The sequence below is a fragment of the Homo sapiens genome, chromosome 5, assembly GCF_000001405.40.
Source record: "Homo sapiens chromosome 5, GRCh38.p14 Primary Assembly".
Classification (NCBI taxonomy): Eukaryota; Metazoa; Chordata; class Mammalia; order Primates; family Hominidae; genus Homo; species Homo sapiens.
This window is the reverse complement of record NC_000005.10, coordinates 11328978-11353854: the sequence shown is the minus strand read 5'-3', so window position 1 is coordinate 11353854 and position 24877 is coordinate 11328978. Positions and strand designations below refer to the sequence as shown.

Below are 24877 nucleotides of genomic sequence, written 5' to 3'. Positions count from 1 at the left end.
TTCTGAAGAAGAAGCCAAAGAAAATGATAATACAATGTTTTTTTTTTTTTTGAAATGGAGTCTTGCTCTTGTCGCCCAGGCCAGAATGCGACGGCACAATCTCGGATCACTGCAACCTCCGCCTCCTGGGTTCAAACGGTTCTCCTACCTCAGCTTCCCAAGTAGCTGGGATTACAGGTGCCTGCCACCACACCCAACTAATTTTTGTATTTTTAGTAGAGACGGGGTTTCTCCATGTTGCCCAGGCTGGTCTCGAACTCCTGACCTCGTGATCCGCCCACCTTGGCCTCCCAAAGTGCTGGAATTACAGGCGTGAGCCACTGCACCCAGCCCTAGGAATATTATGATGGAGCCAATTATCTAGGTAATAGGGATTTAAGCAGTGACACTCTATATCACATTAAATTTTAGTCTTTTTCTGGCATTTCTGCCAAACATATTGCACTTCAAAATGTGTAGGTTTTATTAACCAGGCCTGCCCTCACCTCTAGTGCCGAACAGTGGAGGAGAGGGGGTAAAACACGCAGACCCTGGAGTCCACTGCTACATTTCAGTCCCAGTCCTGCCCACCGTCCTGTCACTGCTCTTCTGTGACCTAATGAGGATGATGTTAATGATAGTAGTACCTGCCATGTAGGCTGTTGTGAGCATTAAATGAGATCATGTGAAGAAGCCCCTAATATGGTAGTTGGCACAATGGGAAGCTCCAAATACATGTAGCATTTATTTTTATCCTTTCCCATTGATGGCTGAAAACGTGCTTGGAATGGTTAAAAAAAAAAAAAAAAAAAAGACTGTGTATCATCCTCTTCATCATTCATCGTGACTCCAGTTACACACACTATAAATTAGAGGACAACTAAAATGCACAGTGCTAAATGTACATTTAAATAGATATAAATACATACATATGTAGGATTAAACATGGGATTATTTTTCTTTCCTTTTTTATTAATTCGCTTATTTACATTTTTAATTTTTATACCAAGTTCTAGAAACCTGCTGAAGTCCATTATGCTGTATATCGCCATAACATTCTTAGAAATAGTAGTAGCTATTGCCAATGAATGAGCAGGATCCTTTGTGTTAATCATTTGTTGTTTTTTTCCTGCTAATTTATATCATGAAGACCTAATGAGGAGCTTGCATTTTTAAAAATTGTACTTACATAGAAATCTATCTGCTCATTACAATGCTATTGGTTAAGATAAGTATAGTCACCACCATCACAAAAATGTTATTCAAAGTTTCAACATGACCGTAGTACCTTATATCTCATCTTGAATTTTTTTTGTTGTTGTTTAAGTTTCAGGATACATGTTCAGGACATGCAGGTTTGTTACGTAGATAAATGTGTGCCATGGTGGTTTGCTGCACCCATCAACCCATCACCTAGGTATTAAACCCTGCATGTATTAGCCATTTATCCAGATGAAGAGCTTGCATTTTTAAATTTTTTCAAGGTTATAACAAGAAGGAAACTATGAGAGCTATTTAAGGATAGGGTTTTACATCATATTCGCTTTCAAATATATCTATGATATATTCATACACATGATCCCACATTCAGTTTGAGAACCAATGTGATAGGCATGTTTGGCCTGTTCTGGTGTTTTCAATGTCTTCTTTTCCAATAAAAGCAGGGAAAACAAGGTCAACACCAATGACAATTATTCCATTACTACTAAGAATCATGCATTAAATGCCTCTCCCCACAAAGATAGTAATGTATGCAATTATTTTAAATTTTGTATGTTCAAATTTACCCTTGAGTATTTTTCCATTGAATTTAGATGGATCAACTTGTGCTGAGTACAGAAAATTGCAAAATGTTTATAGTTCAGTTATTAATGATGACACTCTTGGATATATGCCAGATTGGGTGCTAGAGTTTCCCTATCCCTAAAGAAACTGAGTTGAATTCCAAGTATGTAGGCCATTTTCTTGGACCCATTGTCACCTCATCTATTTTTGTTTTCTGAACTTTCAGAGGGACATTCTTTAATTACTTTATTATATGCTTATTTTGTATTTACATAACATGTAAATGTGCTTAATGTTTTCATATTTATCTGTATATGCAGATATACTTAAAGACAAATAATCCAAAAAGTAGTGCTTTTTTTCTTCCTCTTTATTGAACATTACCTTGTATTTCCCCCCACCAAGTTTCTGTAACTGTGTGCCCAGATTCTTGTATTTTATTCTGTTCTCCTTTTTTCCATTGTCAGTAAATAATGCTTGCAATTATCTATCATAAAGCAGAATATTTCACTTTATTAAAAAGGATGCCTCTTCCCCTTTTTCAAACAAATACAGCACATAAACGTAAAACATCTCTTTATTTTTCCTTTATAAACTAGGCCCTTATTTGTGCAGCTCTGCAGAAAACAGATAATTTCATGAAAGCGTAGGTATCTATTGAAGTATCACGTCAGCTGCTGAAGTGGCTATTTGTTATATCTCCCGAAGAGACCAGTGATACAGTTCATTGAATTCTAAGAGCTTATTGAGGGGAAAAGGGGCTGTTTGTAGAGCAGGTGAGACGAGAGAGGAGTGTGTTTACAGAGTTGATGAAGCACCTTCCCTCTCCAGTGTTTGCCCTGAGTGGGTTCAATTGGATAGAGTAATCCTACAAGGAGAATGATTTGGTCAACTGAGCTTTAAAACGCAAATAAGGAAAAGTGTTCAACAGTCCAGAAATTAAGGGAAAAAAATGTATTAAAGGAAAGTCTTTTAATAGTGTGACTGATATTAATTTATCCATACTAATGGAGAGCCAAGGATTGCATAAGCCACATCAATGTCTAAATAGTTGGGGCCAGATGGGAGACTTGGACCCTGAATCTTTATGTCATTTTACTCAATGCCATACGCACTTTTCCATTTTCTAATATTGATTGATTTCAAAATTCTTAATGGTAATAATAATAGCTCATTTATTTAATATTCTCTACATATTAGATCTTTAATGATTTTCATTCATTTAAAGTAATTGTTTTCACATATATACTTTTACAAAGTAAGGTATTACATTGTTACATTACTAATGGTTGGTTTGAGATCCATTAGATTCTCATACATTTTCTTCTGTATGATTATATAACCTGTCCTTTAATACAGTGTGTTTTTCTGTCCATTTGTACTGGTATTTTACATTATTTTCATTGCATTGATTAGCCTCTAACTTATTTTACTATAACAGCACCAATTTGGCTTGAGGTTTTATATTTTGAAATTTTCATCAGCTGTTTTATTTATTATGACCTAAAAGAAGTTTAAAGCATGGATTTGGGAATGACAGTTCTAAAAGACCATTTGACAAGGCTGAAACTACACATGATTGTGATTTTTTTAAATATATAATCTTTTTGAAAGTTGTTTCTCATCTTAGATTTCATATCCCAGCCTCTTTTCATAGTAGTGATATCACTGGTTAAACTAAAATGTAAAACAGTTTAAAATAAAATTAAGATAATTATATATATATTTTTTATTTTCCAAGGAATGAACAAAGTTAGGTTTATTTGGCATAATTTTTGTACTTTTTTGCATGTCTCAATAAATTCAATTTAATTGAGAAATTGTGTAAATTAGTTAACATACCGACTCGTAATATGTTTTTCAGTATAATGTTCAGGTTATTAATTATTTAAAGGGGGAACCCACCTCTTCTCTGTATCTTTAGTAGAAACAGTGTAAATTTTTTTTTTCTTTTGAGATGGAGTCTTGCTCTGCCACCCAAGCTGGAGTGCAATGGCACGATCTCAGCTCACTGCAACCTCCGCCTCCCGGGTTCAAGCAATTCTCCTGTCTCAGCCTCACTAGTAGCTGGGATTACAGGCACGTGCCACCACGCCCGACTAATGTTTTGTGTCTTTAGTAGAGATGGGGTTTCACCACATTGACCAGGCTAGTCTGGAACTCCTGACCTCATGATCTGCCTACCTCAGCCTCCCAAAGTGAAACAGTGTAAATGTAATGAGAAATAGTGTAGATTAGTTAACATAACAATTTTGTAATATATTTTTCAACATAATGTTCAGGTTGTTAATTCCTTAGTGAACCCATCTTTTATCTGTTACCTTTAGTAGAGAAATAGTGTAAATGTAATGAGAAATAGTGTAAATTAGTTAGCATACGAGTTTGTAATATTTTTCAATATAATATTCAGGTTGTTAATTCCTTAGTGAACCCATCTCTTCTCTGTACCTTTAGTAGACATTTCCTTTCGTTTCAGGCCTCACCGTTTTTCTAAGTTTTCTGACCGTATTAGGTAATTCAATAATCTACAGCTTTGAGGTTTTAAACCTGCCCTGGTAGCCATGGTGTCTATGAGCATGAACTCTAGAAACCAACTCCGAGGACTTCAATTCCTTTTTTATTAATATCAGCTGACTGCCGGCTAGTTTCTTAATCTCTCTGAGCCTCAGTTTCCTGTCTGTAAGGTGAAAATGATGTGTATACTCTCTTATAGGACTGTTGGAGAAAACATGAATTTATACAAATAAAGCACTTACAACAGAGCCCAGCACTCAAAAGGAGCTATATAGTCTGACACCCAGTGAAAGGGCCTTTCTCCCCAATGCCAAGTGTACAATCCCCTTTCCTACTGTCGGTTGATTTCAACATCATTAATGGTAATAATATTAATAATTTATTTGTTTAATATTTTCTCCATATGAGTTATTTAACACTTTTCCTGGGTTGAAATTAAACAATGATCCCATGAAGCCATTTTTTCTCTTCAATAACACTGAAACTGGAGCTTGGAGAGCTCGGTAAATCTGTCCAGTGCCAAGAACTGACCAAAAGGCCAGGACAGGAACCAGTTCTCCACCTTTAGAAACCAAGCTCTAAAAGAGCTCCAGGACATTTCCCTGAAAGGGTCTAAAGTGAAATATAAATAGGAACCCAATAACATTCATAAACTTTTTTCTACCTTTTCTTCCTGCATACATACCAAGATGTTGCCTTCCTGTTTCTGCTTAATTAATTGAATTTCCCACCCTATTTTCACATTTTGAACCAGTCCCTCTTACATGATTTATAATTTATTGTCTGCTGCTTGGCAGAGTTTTTCTTAAACTCTTTCTTGTTATATTTTCTTTTAATTCATGGTCCTTTGAGAGTTTTTTGTGTGGGTAGTCAAATTGTTCTCCTTACCTACTCTGTTGTTTTCTTAACAAAAAGACTTCTTTAGATTTCAATATTATTTCCTGATCTCTGACACTTTAATCATTGTATTGAATACATTAATAGCAAATGATTTTGCATAGAAAACTATTTCTTTCCTGAAAACCATTTTCAGCAAGATTAAATGTTGATACTTAGTTTTCTGAATGGAAAAAAATGCACATCTATGAAAAATGCCAGATGTACTTAGTTTTCTTTTTTCTTTTTTTTTTTTTTTTTTTGCCCTTGATTTTCTGGCTAGCTTATCACAACTTGTAGAAAATGAAATTTTGTTTACCTCTGTACATTTGTTCATCCAAGAGCAAGTTTATGACTTGCCTGTTTTAAACCCCTTTCAGCATAATATAAGGCACATTATGCATAAATTTTAAAATGTGGATTTTAATTACACATGCTGGTAATACTTTGGAGAAACGATAAATCCTCAAGGACTTGCATAAGGACATAAAGCGGATTTTCTGATTGTGCAGTTAATGTTTATTAGCCTAATCTGATTATTTTGAGACTTAACACATCAGGACAACCTTCGTTATTTCAAAATATTGTCCCTCTGGGAATATATGCACTTTTTGTTTATAAAGTTTCTCTTAAATATTTTTGTCATTTTTGTCATGTCACGGAACCTAATTTCCTAAATTTTTGTAATTCTAAGATGAAGTCTTGAAAGTTCACTGGGAAAGAAGAGCCCTGAACTCTTAAGTCAATCCTCGGTATTAGAGTGTATTCCTCCCATTCACTTTGCAGATTTTCATCATTTCGACACAATTTCCTTACCTCTTTTAATAATTATTTTCTCAGCATGACATAATGTCCTTTGTGTCTGATTTGGTATATGTCCCCTAATGTAAAAGAGGATAAAATAAGCTCTATCATTGTTCACTAAGAAATGGTTAGGAAGTCAGAGATGTATAATTGATAATTAGAACCTAATTCCCATAGAGCACCCATGTCATAAATGGTCCTATCTAGCCACTGGCTGTATTTTGGATATGAAGTCTGTTCTACAGCACCAGAAAGCAAGTGGGCTGTCTGCTGTTGATCATGACTAGCAGTCTAAAGCAGTTAATAACTGGTCATATTCTACTGAAATGAAAGATGCTATTTTCATTGTATCTATCAACCAAACCTTAGATGTCAAATATATTTTGAGAACCAGATAAAAATAATGACATGAAAGGATCTAAAAAGAATCCAAGAGGGAAACAAAAAATTGAAATTCAGTTTCAAAATAGTCAAACTGATTTTAGTAACTAGTGTAAAATCTTCTCAAAACAATTTAGACACATTGAGAAGATGCAAATACTTTCAGAAAAGCTAAGTCAGCTCCTTATTTTGTCTGCCTTGCAGTTGGGTTGGTTTTGGCCTTATTCTCCCTTCACCAAATGTGTTTGTTTCTGTGACAGCTTCACTTGAAAAAGAGGCATATAAAAATCTTTCGGGAGTTACTTTACAAAAACTAGAGCAGTCATGGATTGAATGTTCTGGTGCTAATTATGGAGATGTGAACCCCACCTCTTCTCACCTCCACCCCCATGCATACACTCCCTCTCATTTCTTCTTATTTTCTTTGATTCAAGAAAATTAACTACATTACTAATTACATTACTGAATTCATTTTACATCTTTAATAAAGTTAATATAACATTACCGGAACACATTCTGAATCTTCTCAACTTGAAAATGAAGAATTAACTTCCCATGCCTCCTTAGAAAGTATTCTCTATATTTCTTCTTATGCACAAAGTTTATATTGCAGCTGAACACACCTTCTGTTGGATGTAGGTAAGCGATATACACACAACAGATGCATTCCCCCCATACCTGAAAGGTTTGTCTCTTAGGCATGCTAATTATCATTTGACTGGATAACATTGAATGTATTGGTTCAAATATGATGGATTAATTTTTTTTATTCTTTTGAACCCCCTATTTTTTATGTGTGTAACTTCCCCTGCCCCTGCCTAGACCTGGTTAACCATTTCTGTGAGCAGGTCCTCAATTTTTTACTTTGTCCCTACTTTCCTGTCGTAGCCCCATCTTCCCCTGGTGTCGACTCCGTCCCCTTGCAGCGCACAGGCAGCCAGCACGGCCCACAGAATGCCGCCGCGGCCACCTTCCAGAGGGCCAGCTATGCCGCCGGCCCAGCCTCCAATTACGCGGACCCCTACCGACAGCTGCAGTATTGTCCCTCTGTTGAGTCTCCATACAGCAAATCCGGCCCTGCTCTCCCGCCTGAAGGCACCTTGGCCAGGTCCCCGTCCATTGATAGCATTCAGAAAGATCCCAGGTGGGTAAAAACCTTTTTCTTTCCCTATGATGTCTAAAGAGGTTTTGTAACCTGGTACTGTAATTTATTTCACGTCATGTTGCATTTATGTCACTGACTATTAAAGGGTTGGCTTTTCTTGGGTTTTCTTTTGTTTGACTTGGAATGTGTGTGCTTGCAATGGATCCCTAGTATCTTTGGTGGTTCATCACCAAAAACAGAGATGATCTTTTGATCAGAGTATCTATATGTGCTTGATGTTTAGCTACTTGATGAGATGTAAACAGCCGTCTTTAATACAGGGGAAACTGGGGACTGGAGGCTATGTCATTTGACTTCAGATATCATGGCCTACATATTTTATTGTCTCAGTGGAAGTATGCTTTGTCATCATGCGTATTTCTATTTATCAGATTGCAAAGGGGTACACCTTCCAAGCTATAGTAAAATTGAAAATTTAGAAATTTTACATGGCCTTCATTTCTCTATGTCTGAAAATAAACATTAGGATGAAGTTGTTTAAAGACTGATAAAAATGTGAGCATAATATATTAGAGAAATTGTTGTTATGGAGGTTTTTTTTTGTGGTTGTTGTTGCTGTTTTTTCTTTCTTTCTTTCTTTTTTCCATCAGTGGCAAGGGGTTTAGCAATGCTCTGCTTGTAAAGTTGGATTTGAGTCCCTGTAGAGTTAAAGGATGTTTTATTCATAGCCATTGGATTTATGCTGATAGAGTCCCATAAATATATATATCTGCATCTGTGAATACTGTTGATATGTCAGATTGCTGATATTTCTTTATGGCAGGGCAGGTGGCTTGACTCTGGTCTTGTACTTAAAATTCATCTCAAGGAATTTTCACTGATGGAGCACGCAAGTTCCTGTGTACTGTATTGAGGGGTTGGAATAGATTTTTTTGCAAAAAGAAATCACTTCTGCAAATATAAAAGGCAGAATGGGATCATTTTATGGTTTACGTTGAGATAGCTACTTTAGCACAATTCAAACCTGCTTGGAAGGTCCATGTTAAATATTGTATTTGGTATAACACCATTGAAAAAGTGAATTGTAATAAGTGCTTACTGTTATCTACCAGAAATCGGAAGCATTCTTTTGTTTACTATGTTCAGTGTACTGGTTATCTAGATTTTCAGTCTCAACAGCACTCTTTATAGTCTTGGTCCTGAAACCTGCCCCAGATCCTTAAGTATTCTTGGCATGTATGGCAAGCGTATTCATCAGAAAATACCTCAACATATTCCCTATTTTAAAATAATCTTTCTTGATATGCTACTGAAAATGTGTAGAAATAGCGTAATAGTGAACCCTTAAGAAATGCTAAAAGACAAAAATATGTGATTTGACATTGTTTATATTTAACATAGGAGGTTTAAATTGACAATAAACATTTTATCTCTGATGGAAATACTTTAAATTTTCATATTAGGAATTTAGCTTAATAAGAAACCAAATTATATTTCTCTAGCTGTAGCATAGCTTCTGTATTTAATACTGTGTATTAAATGCATTTTATTTTATTAAATGGCGTATCCTTTCCATTTTATGTTACTGTCATTTTTACAGCCTTTTTTCTTCTCTCAATATATTGACACAGCTCTTACCTTTTCAAGTTATGGATTATGTCACTTATATTTATTGAGTGCCTGCTATAAACCAAAAAAGAAAAACACCAATAAGAAGGGTTAGAATGAATAAGAGAATATTGACCACTAAGCTTTTGTATGCGTCAAATTTGTATGCAGATTAGTGCTATATGAATTATAAGTTCATCCTGAGCTCAGACCCACAGACCCCCCAAAAAAAAGAAAAGAAAAGAAAAAACAAATCTAGAACCAGAACTGGACTATTGTGGTTTATTATAAAAGGGATTCATTATCTGGCATCATGCAAAATGTATGGAGCATAAAGTGTAGTAATATAATACCTTTCTTGTCGGGTTTTCTTAAAATTAAGGAATGTCTCAACATGTTTTTTTTTTTTTTGAGACGGAGTCTCGTTTTGTCGCCCAGGCTGGAGTGCTGTGGCGCGATCTCCGCTCACTGCAAGCTCCGCCTTCCGGGTTCACACCATTCTCCTGCCTCAGCCTCCCGAGTAGCTGGGACTACAGGCGCCCGCCACCGCGCCCGGCTAATTTTTTGTATTTTTAGTAGAGACGGGGTTTCACCGTGGTCTCGATCTCCTGACCTCGTGATCCACCCGCCTCGGCCTCCCAAAGTGCTGGGATTACAGGCGTGAGCCACCGCGCCCGGCAACATGTTTTTATTTAATGGAGAGACGTGCCAAATTTAAACTTCAGGTCCAAAATATAGTAATTCTTTTAAGACAAGATTTTTGCATTTTCCCTTAAATATTATAATTTGATTCCTCATAGGTGAATATTACCAGAACTAATATGTTTAACTTCTAGGGCTCACACTTATTTATTTTGGCGTTATGGCTTATTATTTAAATCTTTTCAATGTTTTCAAGCTTTTGAAATATATTTACATATATTTAAGAGAATTTGTTAACATTTTATTTACTGCCAAACACCAGGCTATGTAAGCCTCTTTATCATTATAAACATATGTTTATAGCACATTACAATCTTCAAAGTAGGCTTACTTACATCTTTGATGTAATCCTCCTTTGTGAGCAGAAACTGATATCCCATATTTAATGCCTTAAATAAATGCAGAATCAGAATGTTAAATGACTTCTTGAAAATGCATTGGTGCCAGGTGAGTGTGCGGACCTACATCTACATTGTTAGCACATATTGAATCCATACTGCAGCACATGTTGGCACGAACATTTTTATTTCTTTACAAAAAAGAAAAAGGAAAAAGAAAGAGTATATTTATGATTTTTTTTCAGAGGATGAATGGCAGTACCAGTATCTGTGTAGGAGTTGGGAAGAATGAAGGAAATTGTCTAAGTAGTTCTGGCATCCCTGATCGATTGCTTATTGGATGTGTGGTCTTTGTTATATTTTTCATTTCCGGCATCTACCTTATTTTTCTTATTGTAGACCAGTATCTCTTCTCTGTTAGAGAGTTTTAGTATTATTCAGTGAGAAGTGTTTAAGCAAATACTGCATTTTGAAATAATAATTTGAAGTCATGGCAGTTCCACTTCATCATTAGACTTGAAACCAGAGAAGCCATATTGACTTTCTGTGACTCTAAGTCATAGGATACAAAAGGATTGGTTCTGAGGGGTTGGGATTTTCTTGTTGATGGTTGGCTCAGTCATTTGGATTGTGGCAAAGCTTTGGTCTTTTCTCTTTTGACTAGTCATCCTATATGCCAACAGAAAACCCACAGAAATGTCTTATCCAATTTTCTTTGTAAAGCCAGCAGTCACTGAGATCATTTTTAAACCTGTAAAATTCCCTTTACAGCCCCATTTGCTAAGAAGATTTTATTTGTAATTGTATGTTATTTTCCATAAAATGTGAATCTCTTAAGGATTGTTATCATAGCTAATATATTTGTAGGTACTACACCAGCTATTGAGTTCTATATACTGTTGTTTTTAAACATGAAAGTCAAATATAACTCTTAAATTATATGAAAGAAGTGTCAGTCATGTTGGTAGTGATAAGTCACAAAAGCATTCTCATTTTGAAAATTTGATGATGAAACAAATGGAAAAAAACACAGCAAGACTGATATACCCAGATATACTAAGGGTATTATAACTGTCTTGTCTATCAAATAATAAAAGTCATGGTTAAGATATATTACTGACATAATGTGTAAATTGTAGCAGTAATAGCAACTTTTAATCGTGTTTGATTAATCCCTTTTTGAGATGTTGTAATCCTTGGTGTACACTATCTCGAAAGCAGTTTTTCAAACATGCTTAAAGAATCTCACTTTTTATGAATGTGATTTGCAATAGAACACTATCTTCTATTTTGTTATTCATCATAACAGGAATACATACAATGGCACATTTTTAATGCTGATGCTGGGCCCAAATTATAGCAGCTGCACTTTCAGTCGGCTCTATCAAACTCACTCCATGGATTTGTTCCGTTTCAAACCGCAAAATTTGACTAAGAGTATGACAATATGCACTTTTAAGGAATTATGTATACATTTCCACTATATTTTGTGTGCTGTTTCGAAATAGTAACAACATTTATCTTATTGTTGGACACTTTATTGTTAAATCTCATTAATGAATATTACTTATAAATATTTTACTACTAGGTAAACCTTGGTAAAGAATGTTTTCCAAATGCTGCTTTTTCTTTTTTTAACTGTTCACGACGCATGTGCACATGTGGACACACACACACACACCCACGCGCATGCATATATAGTGAATTGAAAGCTCAGGAAACAAAATATACTATAAAAATGCTTTTATTTTTTGAGACAAGGTTTTGCCCTGTCACCCAGGCTGGAGTGCAGTGGTGTGATCCTAGCTCATTGCAGGCTCAAACTTCCAGGCTCAAATGATCCTCCCACCTCAGCCTCCCAAGTAGGTGGGACTACAGGCTGGCCACAAGCCTGGTTAAATTGTTTTTATTATTTTTTTTAGAGAAGGGGTCTTGCTGTGCTGCCCAGGCTGGTCTTGAACTCCCTGACTCAAGTGATCCTCCTGCCTTGGCCTCCCATAGGGTTGGAGTTGCAAGCATGAGCTACAGTGCCTGGCATAAAAATGCTTTTAAAAAGATGAAGACTTGAAGAATATTTTTTAAATATTAAAGTTTAAACAGTATTATGTAACTTGTTACCATGTAACTCAAATAACATGGCTGAAATGTTTGCAGTAAACCACATATCATATTTTTCAGGGTCCAATTCTCTCAGGTGATGAATCTCTGGGTAGTTTGCTTTTAACTTCAAATGCTCACTAATTATTTATTTAACTGAGGAAATATCCAAGGGGAGAAATACTGGATTCACAACTTAAAGACTTCTGGAGTTTGAAGAGTGCCGGAGGTCGTTTATCAGTTGAGCTAATAGCAATCCCAAAACCTTGCCATTCAGCCCCTGCTTGAATGCCTTGAGCAACAGGCCCCTCACCATCTCTTGAACCATTTTATTTTTCTTTGAGTAATCCAAGCCTTATGCACTAGTTTATATTGATACAGAAATCTGCATCTTTTGTAAGTTCCTTCACTGATCTTGTTTCTGACCTTTGAAATCGTTTGAGAATACACCTATCCCTTTTTCAAAGAGTGGCCTTGGGAGACAGTTCCTGCACCTCACTCCCAGGCCCAAGGCTCCTGCCCCTGTGCTAGCTGCCATTGTTCCATGAGCTGTCACTTCTGGGCCCAACAGTGGCTGATGTCCCTCCAAATTATGCTTCACACATCACCAGCAAGTATAGAAAGAGAGTAAGTGTTACTTTGGGCAAACCTGGGTTCACTTTAGGGTTTCTTGACAGTAAGATGACAACAATGTTTATAACAGTGTTGATGATAACAATGATGATGAAAGTTAATTATTAAGTTCCATGCTCAGTGTTGAATATTTTATATTCGTTATCTAATTTAATCATCCCAAAATCTCTATCACATGACTTTTTATAATACCTATTTTACATGTGGGGAAACTGAGGCTCAGAGAGGTGGAAACAGAACCCAAATCTGACTTTCAGTCTCGTGTTTCTAATTGTAATGGACATTCATACCTATTTGAGCTGTAGAATCAAACAAAATGCCAAGTCTTTTCACAGGCAACTTCTGCAAAACTATGAATCACTGATCTTATCTGGAATTTTCTTTTTAACATAAATGAAGAACTTTACATTCACTTCTTGTAGAGTGATTCCATTATTTGATACTATAGAAATCTTTTTTGGGTCCCAATTTTGTTATCCAGTATAATTATAAACACTGCTCCACATCCTTTGAAATGGGAAAATCAGACATATGTGTCCTCAGCGAGGTTGTATCCAGGTACATCCTGGCCCCAGGATGGAGCCTGCAGCCCTCACTCCTCAGGACCTCTCCCTCTGAATCCATCTGAAGGCATTACTATCTTCTAGATGGCTTTTCCATGGAAGATTCCAGAGTGGGTGCTGCAGATCTAAGAGCCTGAAAACAGCCTCATTTTTTAATGAGCTTTCAAAGTTGTGTGAGAGGGAAAGGGACATCTACAAATGACCATCATGCTATGGGGAAATAAGGCAGATGTGACAAAAGCGGTACCGCGGGAGGAGGTGAGGGCTGGTACATGGTGAGGAACAGATGGTATTGCCACAGGAAGAACTGAGATAAAGCTTTCCAGGTAAAGAGGACAGTTAAAAAGAAAAGAGGTCTGGAAATGGAGGAGGGTAGCCAGTGGGAACACTCAGGCCTGGCTCAGTTGGGATATTGGGCTACAGAGGGCAGCTGTCTCTGAATGCCCTGTCCACCCACCCAAATCAGGACAAAGTGGTAACTTGAAAGCTTGCACTTCCAATATGTGGATTTGTTTAACTTATAAATTATAACCATAGTGTATTAATTTCTTAGGGCTGCTGTCTTAGCCCATTAGGGCTACCATAAGAAAAATATCTCTGGGTAGCTTGATATGAAAAGAATTTATTTCTTACACTTCCAGAGTCTGGGAAGTCCAAGATCAAGGTGCCAACAGACTGTGTGTCTAGTGAGGGCTCTTTCTGCAGAGATGGTGCCTTCTCTCTGTGTCCTCACAAAGTGGGGTCTCTTTTAAAAGGGCACTAATCCCATCAATGAGAGCTATACCCCCATAACCTAGTCACCTCCCAACATCTCCACCTCCTAATGCATCACATTTGTGATTAGGTTTCAGCCTACAAATCTAGGGGGTCACAAACATTCAGACCATAGTGGCTGCCATAATAGATTACCACAAAGTGGGTGGCATAAACCAGGAGAAACTTATCATCTCACAGTTCTGGAGGCTGGAAGTCTGAAATCAAGGTGTCAGCAGGACCATTTCCCTTCAAATTCAGTTTTTCCTGTGGCAATACCATCTGTTCCTCACCATGTACCAGCCCTCACCTCCTCCCGCGGTACTGCTTTTGTCACATCTGCCTTATTTCCCCATAGCATGATGGTCATTTGTAGATGTCCCTTTCCCTCTCACACAACTTTGAAAGCTCATTAAAAAATGAGGCTGTTTAAAAAATGAGGCTGTTTAATGAAAGCTCATTAAAAAATGAAGGAACTGGGCCGGGCGCGGTGGCTCACGCCTGTAATCCCAGCACTTTGGGAGGCCGAGGCGGGTGGATCACGAGGTCAGGAGTTCGAGACCATCCTGGCTAACACGGTGAAACCCCGTCTCTACTAAAAATACAAAAAATTAGCCGGGCGAGGTGGCGGGCGCCTGTAGTCCCAGCTACTCGGGAGGCTGAGGCAGGAGAATGGCGTGAACCCCAGGGGGCGGAGCCTGCAGTGAGCCGAGATTGCGCCACTGCACTCCAGCCTGGGCGACAGCGAGACTCCGTCTCAAAAAAAAAAAAAAAAAAAAAAAAAAAAAAAAATGAAGGAACTGTGTACTCAGCCCTCATAGCCAAGAGGGAAGATAGGAAGAAGGGAGAGAAGACTCCAAGGCAAAAAGACCTTTTTGTTTTATAAAACTTCCTTTTCAAGAGTTCTTTTATCAGTTTAAAAGAAAGTAATGTTCACACACAGTATTTGTCTGTGATAATATTGATTTTTTTCAGTACTTATAATAAACAATTGCATTCCAAAATAACAACTCATTTCTAATGCTACCTAAATATACCCACCTAATTTATACTAAGGCAGGTTCTGGCATAGGGGCCTCCATGATATCATGTGGTCAAGAGTAATGAGAGACAGGCAATCATGCCTGATGCATAGTCCTACCCAAAGTACTAGTTACTTAATTCCTCGTTAGCAAATACCCCATCCTTTGCGATGGTGGAAATCCGTTTTGTGCTCTCGTATACAGACCTTCCTCTAGGGAACGAGCCTCTTCTCTTCCAAATCCATGTGCTATCAGTAAAACAGACTGTACCCCAAGTTCAGAAGGTGAGTGTGGATCTCATACTTGGCCCAAGAGCTGACAACCCATGGGGTCCCCACTCCTAGCCAGGGCCTCGAGGACTGCAGAGAGGTCTGTGAGACCCATGTTCCAGTTCTCTAAAGTGGGCTCCAGGCATTCTGGGCTTCCCTACATCACTTGGGGGCAAAAAGCCAAATCCAAGCTAGCTAGAGCCAACATATAGCAGCTAAAGCGACTTTCACATGTTCGCCTCCTTCTCAGTGTAGTTCACCCTCCCTAACACCCCTGCTACACACCTTGTTCACTCCCTACCTGTGGTTGTGTTTCTTATATTTGGTCTCCATTAAAAAGCCAGGAACTAAGATGTCCTGGGTCACTTAGCTTGTGTCTCTGATGAATTACAAGTGGATCCATCATATTTGCTTATTCCATCTTTCCAGAACTTTCTTTTTTAACCTTTCTACCTGAAGTCCACTATATCCCCTGTTCCAGGAACAGATATATTATCTTTCCTCTAATTTAAAGCAACTGAGAAGTACCATGCAATAATTAAAGTAGCATGAAATTTTTACAAAATAAGCTTATTGGAGACACTAAATCTGATGATAATGTCCAGTATCAAGGGTATCTTGGATCAGTAGAAGTCAGAACTTAATGAATTTTAAGGTCCCCAATAATGCTAAGTACAGTGATAACACATTAAAAAAAAGCAGGTAGTGCTTTAAAGGAGTAATCTACTGAATTCTCAAATAATTATCCGCAATGTTGTCATTATGCTTTAAGTTTATAGCTTTATCAGTAATTTGTATTACTTCCTCTTTCGTGGTTAATCTCTGTCATTTTACTGATGATATTGTATATGATGTATGTGTGATATGCATGTGTTATCTATGGGATTTAGATATTCTCATACTGGAAGGAGAATGGGGTCTTGCAGGTGGAATTGTTCCTTGTACCATTTTGTGATGAAACAGATATCAAAGACTGCAAATGAGAAGAAAGGTCCTTGGTAGGTGGGGGAAGTAAATCTCTCTCTTCATCTGCATTTGAAAAAAATGGTCAGAATGTTTAAGAGCACAAAAGGAGAGTGAATATTAAAAATGGCACCTCTTGGAAGTCAGCTGAGAACCAAAAACAAGGGAGCCTCTTTCCCTGGAATCTCATGGAGAATTAGAGTGGCTTGTAATTCCAGAGAGGAAGTTGTGAAATCTAAACACTCCAGTTGGATGCACAGATTGTATTTAAAATCCGTGTGCTTCCCATTTATTTCCTGCTTGATATCTTTTAGAGTTCTGGGAAGTGGTTTCGAAGGAATGCAAAGAAGGTTCTGTGCTTCAAAAGGTATCAAAGGAAGATTTTGTGGGTCTAGTCTTGAACAAGATTGTGAACATGGAGGACAGCACCCCTGCTACCCAAAGTTGGTTCCCACGTTGTGGAACCCTCACCAGAGAGAGGGAAACCAAAAAAATTCAGGTGACAAAATTGGCTCACTGGGTCAATCATTCCTCAGGGACTGTCTTCCTCTAGGGATAATCTTGACAGCCTTAGACTTTTATTAAAGAAAGTTATGTGTGTGTGTGTGTGTGTTTGTGCCATATAGATTATGAGTGTATTTGTGTGATATGAGCATTTGTATGTACACATAAATTATATGTAGATATACTATTTGTATACATACATATACACACATAATTTGTCTATGTGGCATACAGATGATAAATAATGTGTGTATATGTATCTATGTAGTATGTGTACACATGTGTATAAACACATGTATTTATATATACATGTAATCCATCTGTTTATTGGCTCTGCATGCATTTATCCAAAGATAAGATATACAAACCTTGCATAAGCACATGTTTGTTAATGCTACAAAGGGCACACAGTAACAAAGTGTTGATTTTCTGTCTTCTCTATTTATCAGTGTTGATAGGGTGTTGAAAACTAAAAGTATAAATTCACAGACTTAGACACAAGACTTGTTTTCCTTATAGAAGTATGGATAAGTCATAGTAGCTATAAAATTTTTGAAAAGCCCATTCTGGTTGTGTGTTTATGTATTTAATAGGCATCCACATACCCACGTTCAACCTTTCGAACTCATGTTCTGTTCAAAGTACACTATGCCTTTCAGAGACCTTGGCCAGTTCTGTTAACCAGTGGAGAGCGTCCAGGTTATTGGCATGTTGAACAAAGAATTGGACAAAACTCACAAAGCAAGGAAAGAATGAAGCAACAAAAGCAGAGATTTTTGAAAATGAAAGTATAACTCCACAGGGTGAGAGCAGGGCTGAGCATAGGGGCTCAAGAGCCCAGTTCCAGAATTTTCTGGGGTTAAATACCCTCTAGAGGTTTCCCATCAGCCACTTGGTGTACACCCAATGCAAATGAAATAGTGGCCAAAAATCTGATTGTAACCTTTGTCACTCCACTTCAGCCTCTGATTGGTTGTGGAAAGCAACCAATCAGAGGCTGAAGTTACAAAGGTTACATCCTATGCAAATGTCTGATTGGTTGTAGAAAGCAACCAATCAGAGGCTAAAGTGAATTTCCAAAGTTACACCTCTGTGCAAACAAAGACTTGGCCCACAATCAGTCTGATTGGTTGTGGAAAGCAACCAATCAGAGGTATTTTCAATTTTCCATCTGGCACACAGAAAAGGGAGTGGGAATTTGCAAAGGGAGTAGGCTCTGGTCCTTTTGTTACTTAGGTGTGAAAAGTTGAGGTTTTTCTTTTGATTTAGTCCTAGGAAGTCAGTGTGAATTGGCCTTAGGTTCCCCGCCGCCAGACCCTATTCTCCTGCCTCAGTTCCTAAAAGAGCTTCCTTCCCTTATTCTTCAATGTGTACTACTATGGGAAACGTGTTTTATTTTTAGCATATCTCAATTAATCCATCCTCAAAGTCCTTATTTATTCTACCACAAGTGGAATTCTGAAATCTCCTTTGGTTATTTCATGTGCAAACCAGTTTTGATATTTGGCTTGATGTCCTAAGTCATTTTCCTTCACCATCTGACTTTGAACATTTGAGGACAAAAATGGAGCATTCAAAATATTTATTGTCTTACAAAGCAGGTTGTAGTTGACTGTCAGTGTTTAACTAATGAAAATTAATTTCCATTGCTTCTTGAGATGTTTTGCAGCTAATAGTGCTCATTAATTTGGAGATACTGACCTTGATAAGGAGAAGATTAGCATTTTATAGTAAAAAATATATTTTAAACAGAAATCCCATTGCTCATGGTGCATTTCAAGTTTGACAATCCTAGTAACTTAAATTACTGAATCTACTGAAGAACATGTTCAGCGACTATAACTGGGTTGCTGAACCAAGTGTGCTTTAGCAGGCACTTAATTCTACTAAGAAGACAAGAAGGAGGAGGAAAGGAGGAAAGGTAAGAAAGAGAAGAAGATACCAGTGGGAAATTCAGCAGGCTATACTCTGACACACACAGTGCTTTATGTACTAAAGTGCATTGAAGAGTAAGATGACAGAAGTATCCTCACTTTTTCATTATTGTACCTTTTCAGTATTCTAGGGACACTTCAATATATGCTTTGTTCTTTGAATGTGTTTATTGTTTAAAATTCCATACCGGAGGGTCCTTAGTTTGGGGGCCTCTTTAGAGATGAAGCTCCACATGAAGGAGTTTGGAATGTGTTTGTTAACTGAGACATTTGCAAGAAACCCCCAAAGTGAGGGCCTCCATCTACCCTATCTATCTGCTCTTGAAGGATGCTACAGTGAGACCCTAGGGTGGCTCCCCCATCTTTGAAATGCAGCCCAGTGGTTCCCAACATTTTCGGAATTCAGACACAAGTTAGTTACATATGAAGGGATAGGTGAGATGCCGGCAGAGGGCGTCCAGTCTTTCACTTGACAAAGGATTTCCTCCAGCACTTCCTAATATACTGGAAAGACAGATATGAAATCAGCCTGGGATGTAGTCTTTTCAACTGAATAAAAGAGGCCTTATGAAAAAAATGAAAGTTGGTTTACAGACAGGTGGTTGGAACACTGACTTAGAAACCCACAATGATGGAGCCTTTATTTTTCTGAACGAGTAATGTAAAATTACCTTAAGATACTCACGTGCCATAGAATAGTTGTATATATTTATGGGTTACAGTGTGATGTTTCTATACATATATAGTACATCATTATTAAATTAGGTTACTTAGCTTATCCATCACCTCAAACGTGTATGATTTCTTTGCAGTGAAAACATTCAAAATTTGTGTCCCAGTGAGTGTGAAAAAGAAATCCTGGCCATTTATCTTCTTTACCTTACCTATGTTTACCATTTTGAATGTGTTTGCTAAATGAATGAGTGACTAGAATTATAATATCTCCTCAATATTTTCAAGTTTTTCAAAGTAGCAATAATATTTAAATCTTAATAATTTCTGAAAAATCTCCCAATACCTAGCATCCAGCATAGAATTAAAGTAATAAAGTGTGTGGTAGGATGGCCGCAATGACCCCGGTCTCCTGGGGTTCACACCTTTCTGTCTTCCCGCCCGAAATGAAGCAGAGCTGGCCCGTATGACCAGTAGGATGCCATAGGGGTGGCAGTGTGTGGCTTCTGAAGGTAAGGGAGCCAGGCTGACGTCCTAAGGACGTCCAAACAGCCCATGGTGAGGAGTCAACCTGCCTGCCAAGTGAGCAAACCCTTTCAAGCAAATCCGCCAGGGTCAGTAGAGCCTTTGGATCTTCCAGGTCAGCTCCCAGACGTGGTGAAGCAGAGAAGGTCATCCCTACTCTTCCCTATCTGGTGTTCCTATGAACCTGTGAGGTGTCATAAGTGAAGATTGTTGTTTCCAGCCTTTAAGTTTGTGGGATGATGATTTGTTATGTCTGATCTGACTGATCATCTCACAAAACTATCCATCTTTCCCTCTAATATCATCTGGGGAATTCCCTTTACCTTTGCTTATCGAAATAAAAAAGAGCAACCTGGGCAATATGGCAAAACCCTGTCTCTACAGAATAATACAAAAATTAGCTGGGTGTGGTGGCACATGCCTGTGGTCCTATCTACTGTGAAGACTAAGGCAGGAGGATCATTTGAGCCCAGGAAGTCGAGGCAGCAATGAGTTGTGATTGCACCACTGCACTCCAGCCTGGGCAACAGAGTGAGACCCTGCCTCAAAAAAACAAAAAAAAGAAAAGAATAGAAAAGAAAAAAGTCAAAAGGTTGAAACAATCTAAATGTCCATTGCAAAATGTAGTATACAGTATACATATGATGGAGTTTTATTCAGCTGTAAGAAGGGAGGAAATTCTGATACATACTACAAGAGGGATGAATCATGAAGACATCATGCTAAGTAAAATAAAGTAGATAGAAAAGGATGAATATGTATTAGTCCATTTTCACACTGCTGATAAAGGCATACCCAGGACTGGGTGATTTATAAAGACAAACAAGTTTAATGGACTCAGTTCCACGTGGCTGGGGAGGCCTCACAATCGTGACAGAACGTGAAAGGCATGTCCTACGTGGCGGCAGGTAAGACAGAATGAACGAAAGGGGTTTCCCCTTATAAAACCATCAGATCTCATGAGACTTATTCACTACCACAAGAGCAGTATAGGGAATTCAATTATCTCCCACCACGTCCCTCCCATGACACGTGGGAATTATGGGAGCTACAATTCAAGATGAGATTTGTGTGGGGACACAGTTTAATTATATCACTGTATGCTCCAATTACATGAAGTACCTAGAATAGTCAAATCTAAGAGACCAAAAGTAGAATAGTGGTTTCCTGGGGATGTGGGAAGGGGAAATGAGAAGTGTGTAATGGGTATAGAATTTCAATTTGGATGATGAAGAAGTTTTGGAGATGGTTAGTGATGATGGCTGTATAACAGTATGAATGTACTTAATGCCATGGAACTGTACACTTAAAAATAGTTAAAATTGTAAATTTTATGTTATGTATATTTTACCATCATAAATAGAAGGAAGGAGACAACTACAGGCTGGCCAGGCACTGCCTCCTATAGACAGAAACCAAGGCTGCATGGACGAGCAGGAGATGAATCCCCAGGGAGGCAGCACCCAGGCCTCATGGATCCTGATCCTTTCAAAACAGTGCCTCCCACTACCATGTAGGAAGCTCGAAAGCCCACCTTTTTTTTTTTTTTTTTGAGACGGAGTTTAGCTCTTGTTGCCCAGGGTGGAGTGCAATGGCGCGATCTCCACTCACCGAAACCTCCGCCTCCCAGGTTCAAGCGATTCTCCTGCCTCAGCCTCCCAAGTAGCTGGGATTACAGGTACCCGCCACCACACCCAGCTAATTTTGTATTTTTAGTAGGGACGGGGTTTCTCCATGTTGGTCAGGCTGCTCTCGAACTCCCGACCTCAGGTGATCCGCCCACCTCAGCCTCCCAAAGTGCTGGGATTACAGGCATGAGCCACCATGCCCGGCCTACATTATTCTTAAATCAGGGTACTTAGCTTACCTATCACCTCAAGCACTTATGATTTCTTTGTAGTGAAAATATTCAAAATCTTCTAGTTATTTTGAAATATACCATATAATATTGTTAACTGTAGCCACCCCAGTGTGCAATAGAACACCAGAACCTATTCCTCTTATCTGTAATTTTGTACTCATTGACCAATCTCTGCCCATCCCTCCTCCCCACTAAAGTAGCTTTTAAATTAAATGACATAATATTATTCTATAAAATAAAAATAGTTGTGTATGCTATTTGGGAAATCTCGCCTTGGGGTTTTAGATATTTTCATTCATTCATTCACTCAACAAATATGTTCTAAGTACAAATAGTCAGGTATGTTCTGGACCCTGAAAACTTTTCCATAGGGAAGATGAGGTAGGAATGTTAACTAGGAAATAAATAAAAAATAATCATGTTTAAAATTACATAAACTTAAAAATAGATCACATTTAAATGAAAGCGACCTGCCAAAATTTTATTAAAAATTACCCTTAGTAACTGATTATATGAGCTACCACATAATTCTATTAATATTTTAACAACCTCAGGAGTTCCTACTGTGCCTTTTGCCTTTAGAACCAAAGTTCTGTTTCCTGACTTCTACAGGGGTTAATTTCCCCTCATACTGAGGAGGAAAGCAGTAACTCATACCTCAAAAATGCTAAATCAGAAGGCTTTCAACCAACACAAAGAAAGCAGATAAAAAATAAGCATACCCTTTCTTCCAGGAACCAACAGTACTCTTGTCCCTATCTCTTCTTGACAAAGAAGTCTGCTATATTTCAAGCCAGGCTCAGTTATATTAGAAAAGAACTCATTAAGATAAGTGGCAATTAACATCTATGCTGCAGTAAAAGTGCTTTCGACATTAAAGAAGAAAATACAAAGCATGGGATTTTTTAGATAAACGGAAACGTTTCTGTAGGGTGCCTTGCTATGTATTTGCTGTTCTTTGTTTTGAAGATGACTGAAGTATTAACAGACTTAAATTTACTATAAATCAGCTTGAAAGTAACAGACAATATTGCTAATATTGTAAAATGGGCCTCTAGGAACTCAAACACTGCGTATGTTTGCTAAACAGTGTCCATACACTTAGGCTCACACACAGACACACACAGGCTGGACTTGCTCTGTATAAGTTAGCTGAACTCTTTCTATTTTTTTTTTTTTTTTTTGATACAGAGTTTTGCTCTGTTGCCCAGGTGGGAGTTCAGTGGTGCTATCTTGGCCTACTGCAACCTCTGCCTCCTCAGTTCAAGTGAGCATGCCCAGCTAAATTTTGCATTTTTAGTAGAGACAGGGGGTGGGGGTTCATCATGTTGGTCAGGCTGGACTGGAACTCCTGACCTCAAGTGATCCACCACCCGCCTCGCCCTTCTGCAATCCTGGGGTTACAGGCATGAGCCACCACACCCAGCCTGAACTCTGTAACCATAAGTTTTCCTTTCTTTTTTTTTTTTTTTTTTTTTTTTTTGAGACGGAGTCTCTCTCTGTCACCCAGGCTGGAGTGCAGTGGCGTGATCTCGGCTCACTGCAAGCTCCACCTCCCAGGTTCATGCCATTCTCCTGCTTCAGCCTCCTGAGTAGCTGAGACTACAGGTGCCCGCCACCACGCCCGGCTAATTTTTTTTTTTTTTTTTTTGTATTTTTAGTAGAGACGGGGTTTCACCATGTTAGCCAGGAAGGTCTCGATCTCCTGACCTCGTGATCCGCCCGCCTCAGCCTCCCAAAGTGCTGGGATTACAGGTGTGAGCCACCGTGCCCAGCCAGATTTTCATGTTTAAAAAGGAAACAAGTTTCTGTCTGATTATCCTACACTATTGCTTTAATAAAAATCAAGGCAACACAGGCAACGTACAACAGGACCTTTATGTACATCCACATGTGATGTGTGTATCATTCAGGCCCATACTGTCTGCTGAAGTTCCTGTATGTAACATGCTACATTAGCTCATTCACTGCAGTAATCACTTACAGACTACAAGGAATGAAATAAGCTCTGGTTATCTCAGTCAATAGGAGCTTGTTGTAAGTTTCCAGAGGGGTATGAAAGAGACAGGAAGCTGTTTCAGCAACCTTAGCCAGACGAGTCTCATTGAAAAACAGATCACGGTGCTGGATACCAAAGCTGCTTTGGGACCATGGCAGGAGCCTTGGGGATGGCGCTGAGAATCGGGCATTTGCTGAGCCCCTTTGCAGAGCCTGGCAGTGTGGGTCTCTGCCTCTGCACTCATGACCCTGCCACCCTGACGCTTCCCTCTGACCACCTTCTTCTCTCCTGGTCTCCAATCTCTGACTTCCTGGGCTGCTATTGCACAGGACTTCTGCAGAGATCTGCATCTCTCCAGTGTGGGTAACTGTAGCACTCTGAATTCAGACTGGCTTAAGAGAGGTGTTATGGGCTGAATTCTGTCCCCAAATGTATATGTTGAAATCCCAACCCCCCAGTACCTCAGAATGTGACTGTATTTGGAGATAAGGCTTTAAAGAGATGATTAACTTTGGCCAGGCATGGTGGCTTCCACCTATAATCCCAGCACTTTGGGAGGCCGAGGGATGGGGATCACTTGAGGTCAGGAGTTTGAGACCAGCCTGGCCACCATGATGAAACGCCATCTCTACTAAAAATATAAATATTAGCCGCGTGTGGTGGCGCATGCCTGTAGTCCCAGCTACTCAGAGGCTGAGGCAGGAGAATCGCTTGAACCCAGGAGGTAGAGGTTGCAGTGAGCCAAGATTGCACCACTATACTCCAGCCTGGGTGACAGAGCAAGACTCTGTCTCAAAAAATTTTAAAGAAGGATGATTAACTTAAAATGAGGCCATTAGGGTGAGCCCCAATTCAATAGGACTGGTGTCCTTATAAGAAGAGGAAGAGGTGTCAGAGATGTGGTTATACAGAAAGACCTCATGAGGACAGTGGGAATTTGTTCATCTACAAGCCAAGGAAAGAGGCCTCAGGAAACATGTAAGCTGCCAG

The 24877-nt window shown here is 38.6% G+C and overlaps 1 protein-coding gene across 12 annotated transcripts in view; it reads left to right on the top strand.

The window, feature by feature from the left end:
* CTNND2 (catenin delta 2) overlaps positions 1-24877 on the top strand; it is a 932611-nt gene that overhangs the window by 550592 nt on the left and 357142 nt on the right. For 11 of the 12 annotated variants that reach the window (NR_109988.2, XM_017009074.2, XM_017009072.2 and 8 more), the window contains one exon: positions 7228-7483. The exons of the other annotated variant lie outside the window; for it this stretch is intronic. Coding sequence is in view for 10 of the 11 variants with exons in the window: in XM_017009074.2 (XP_016864563.1) it covers positions 7228-7483 (256 nt within the window). In the remaining variant the exon portion in view is untranslated. The remainder of the gene's footprint in view (positions 1-7227; positions 7484-24877) is intronic. 12 annotated transcript variants of the gene reach the window in all.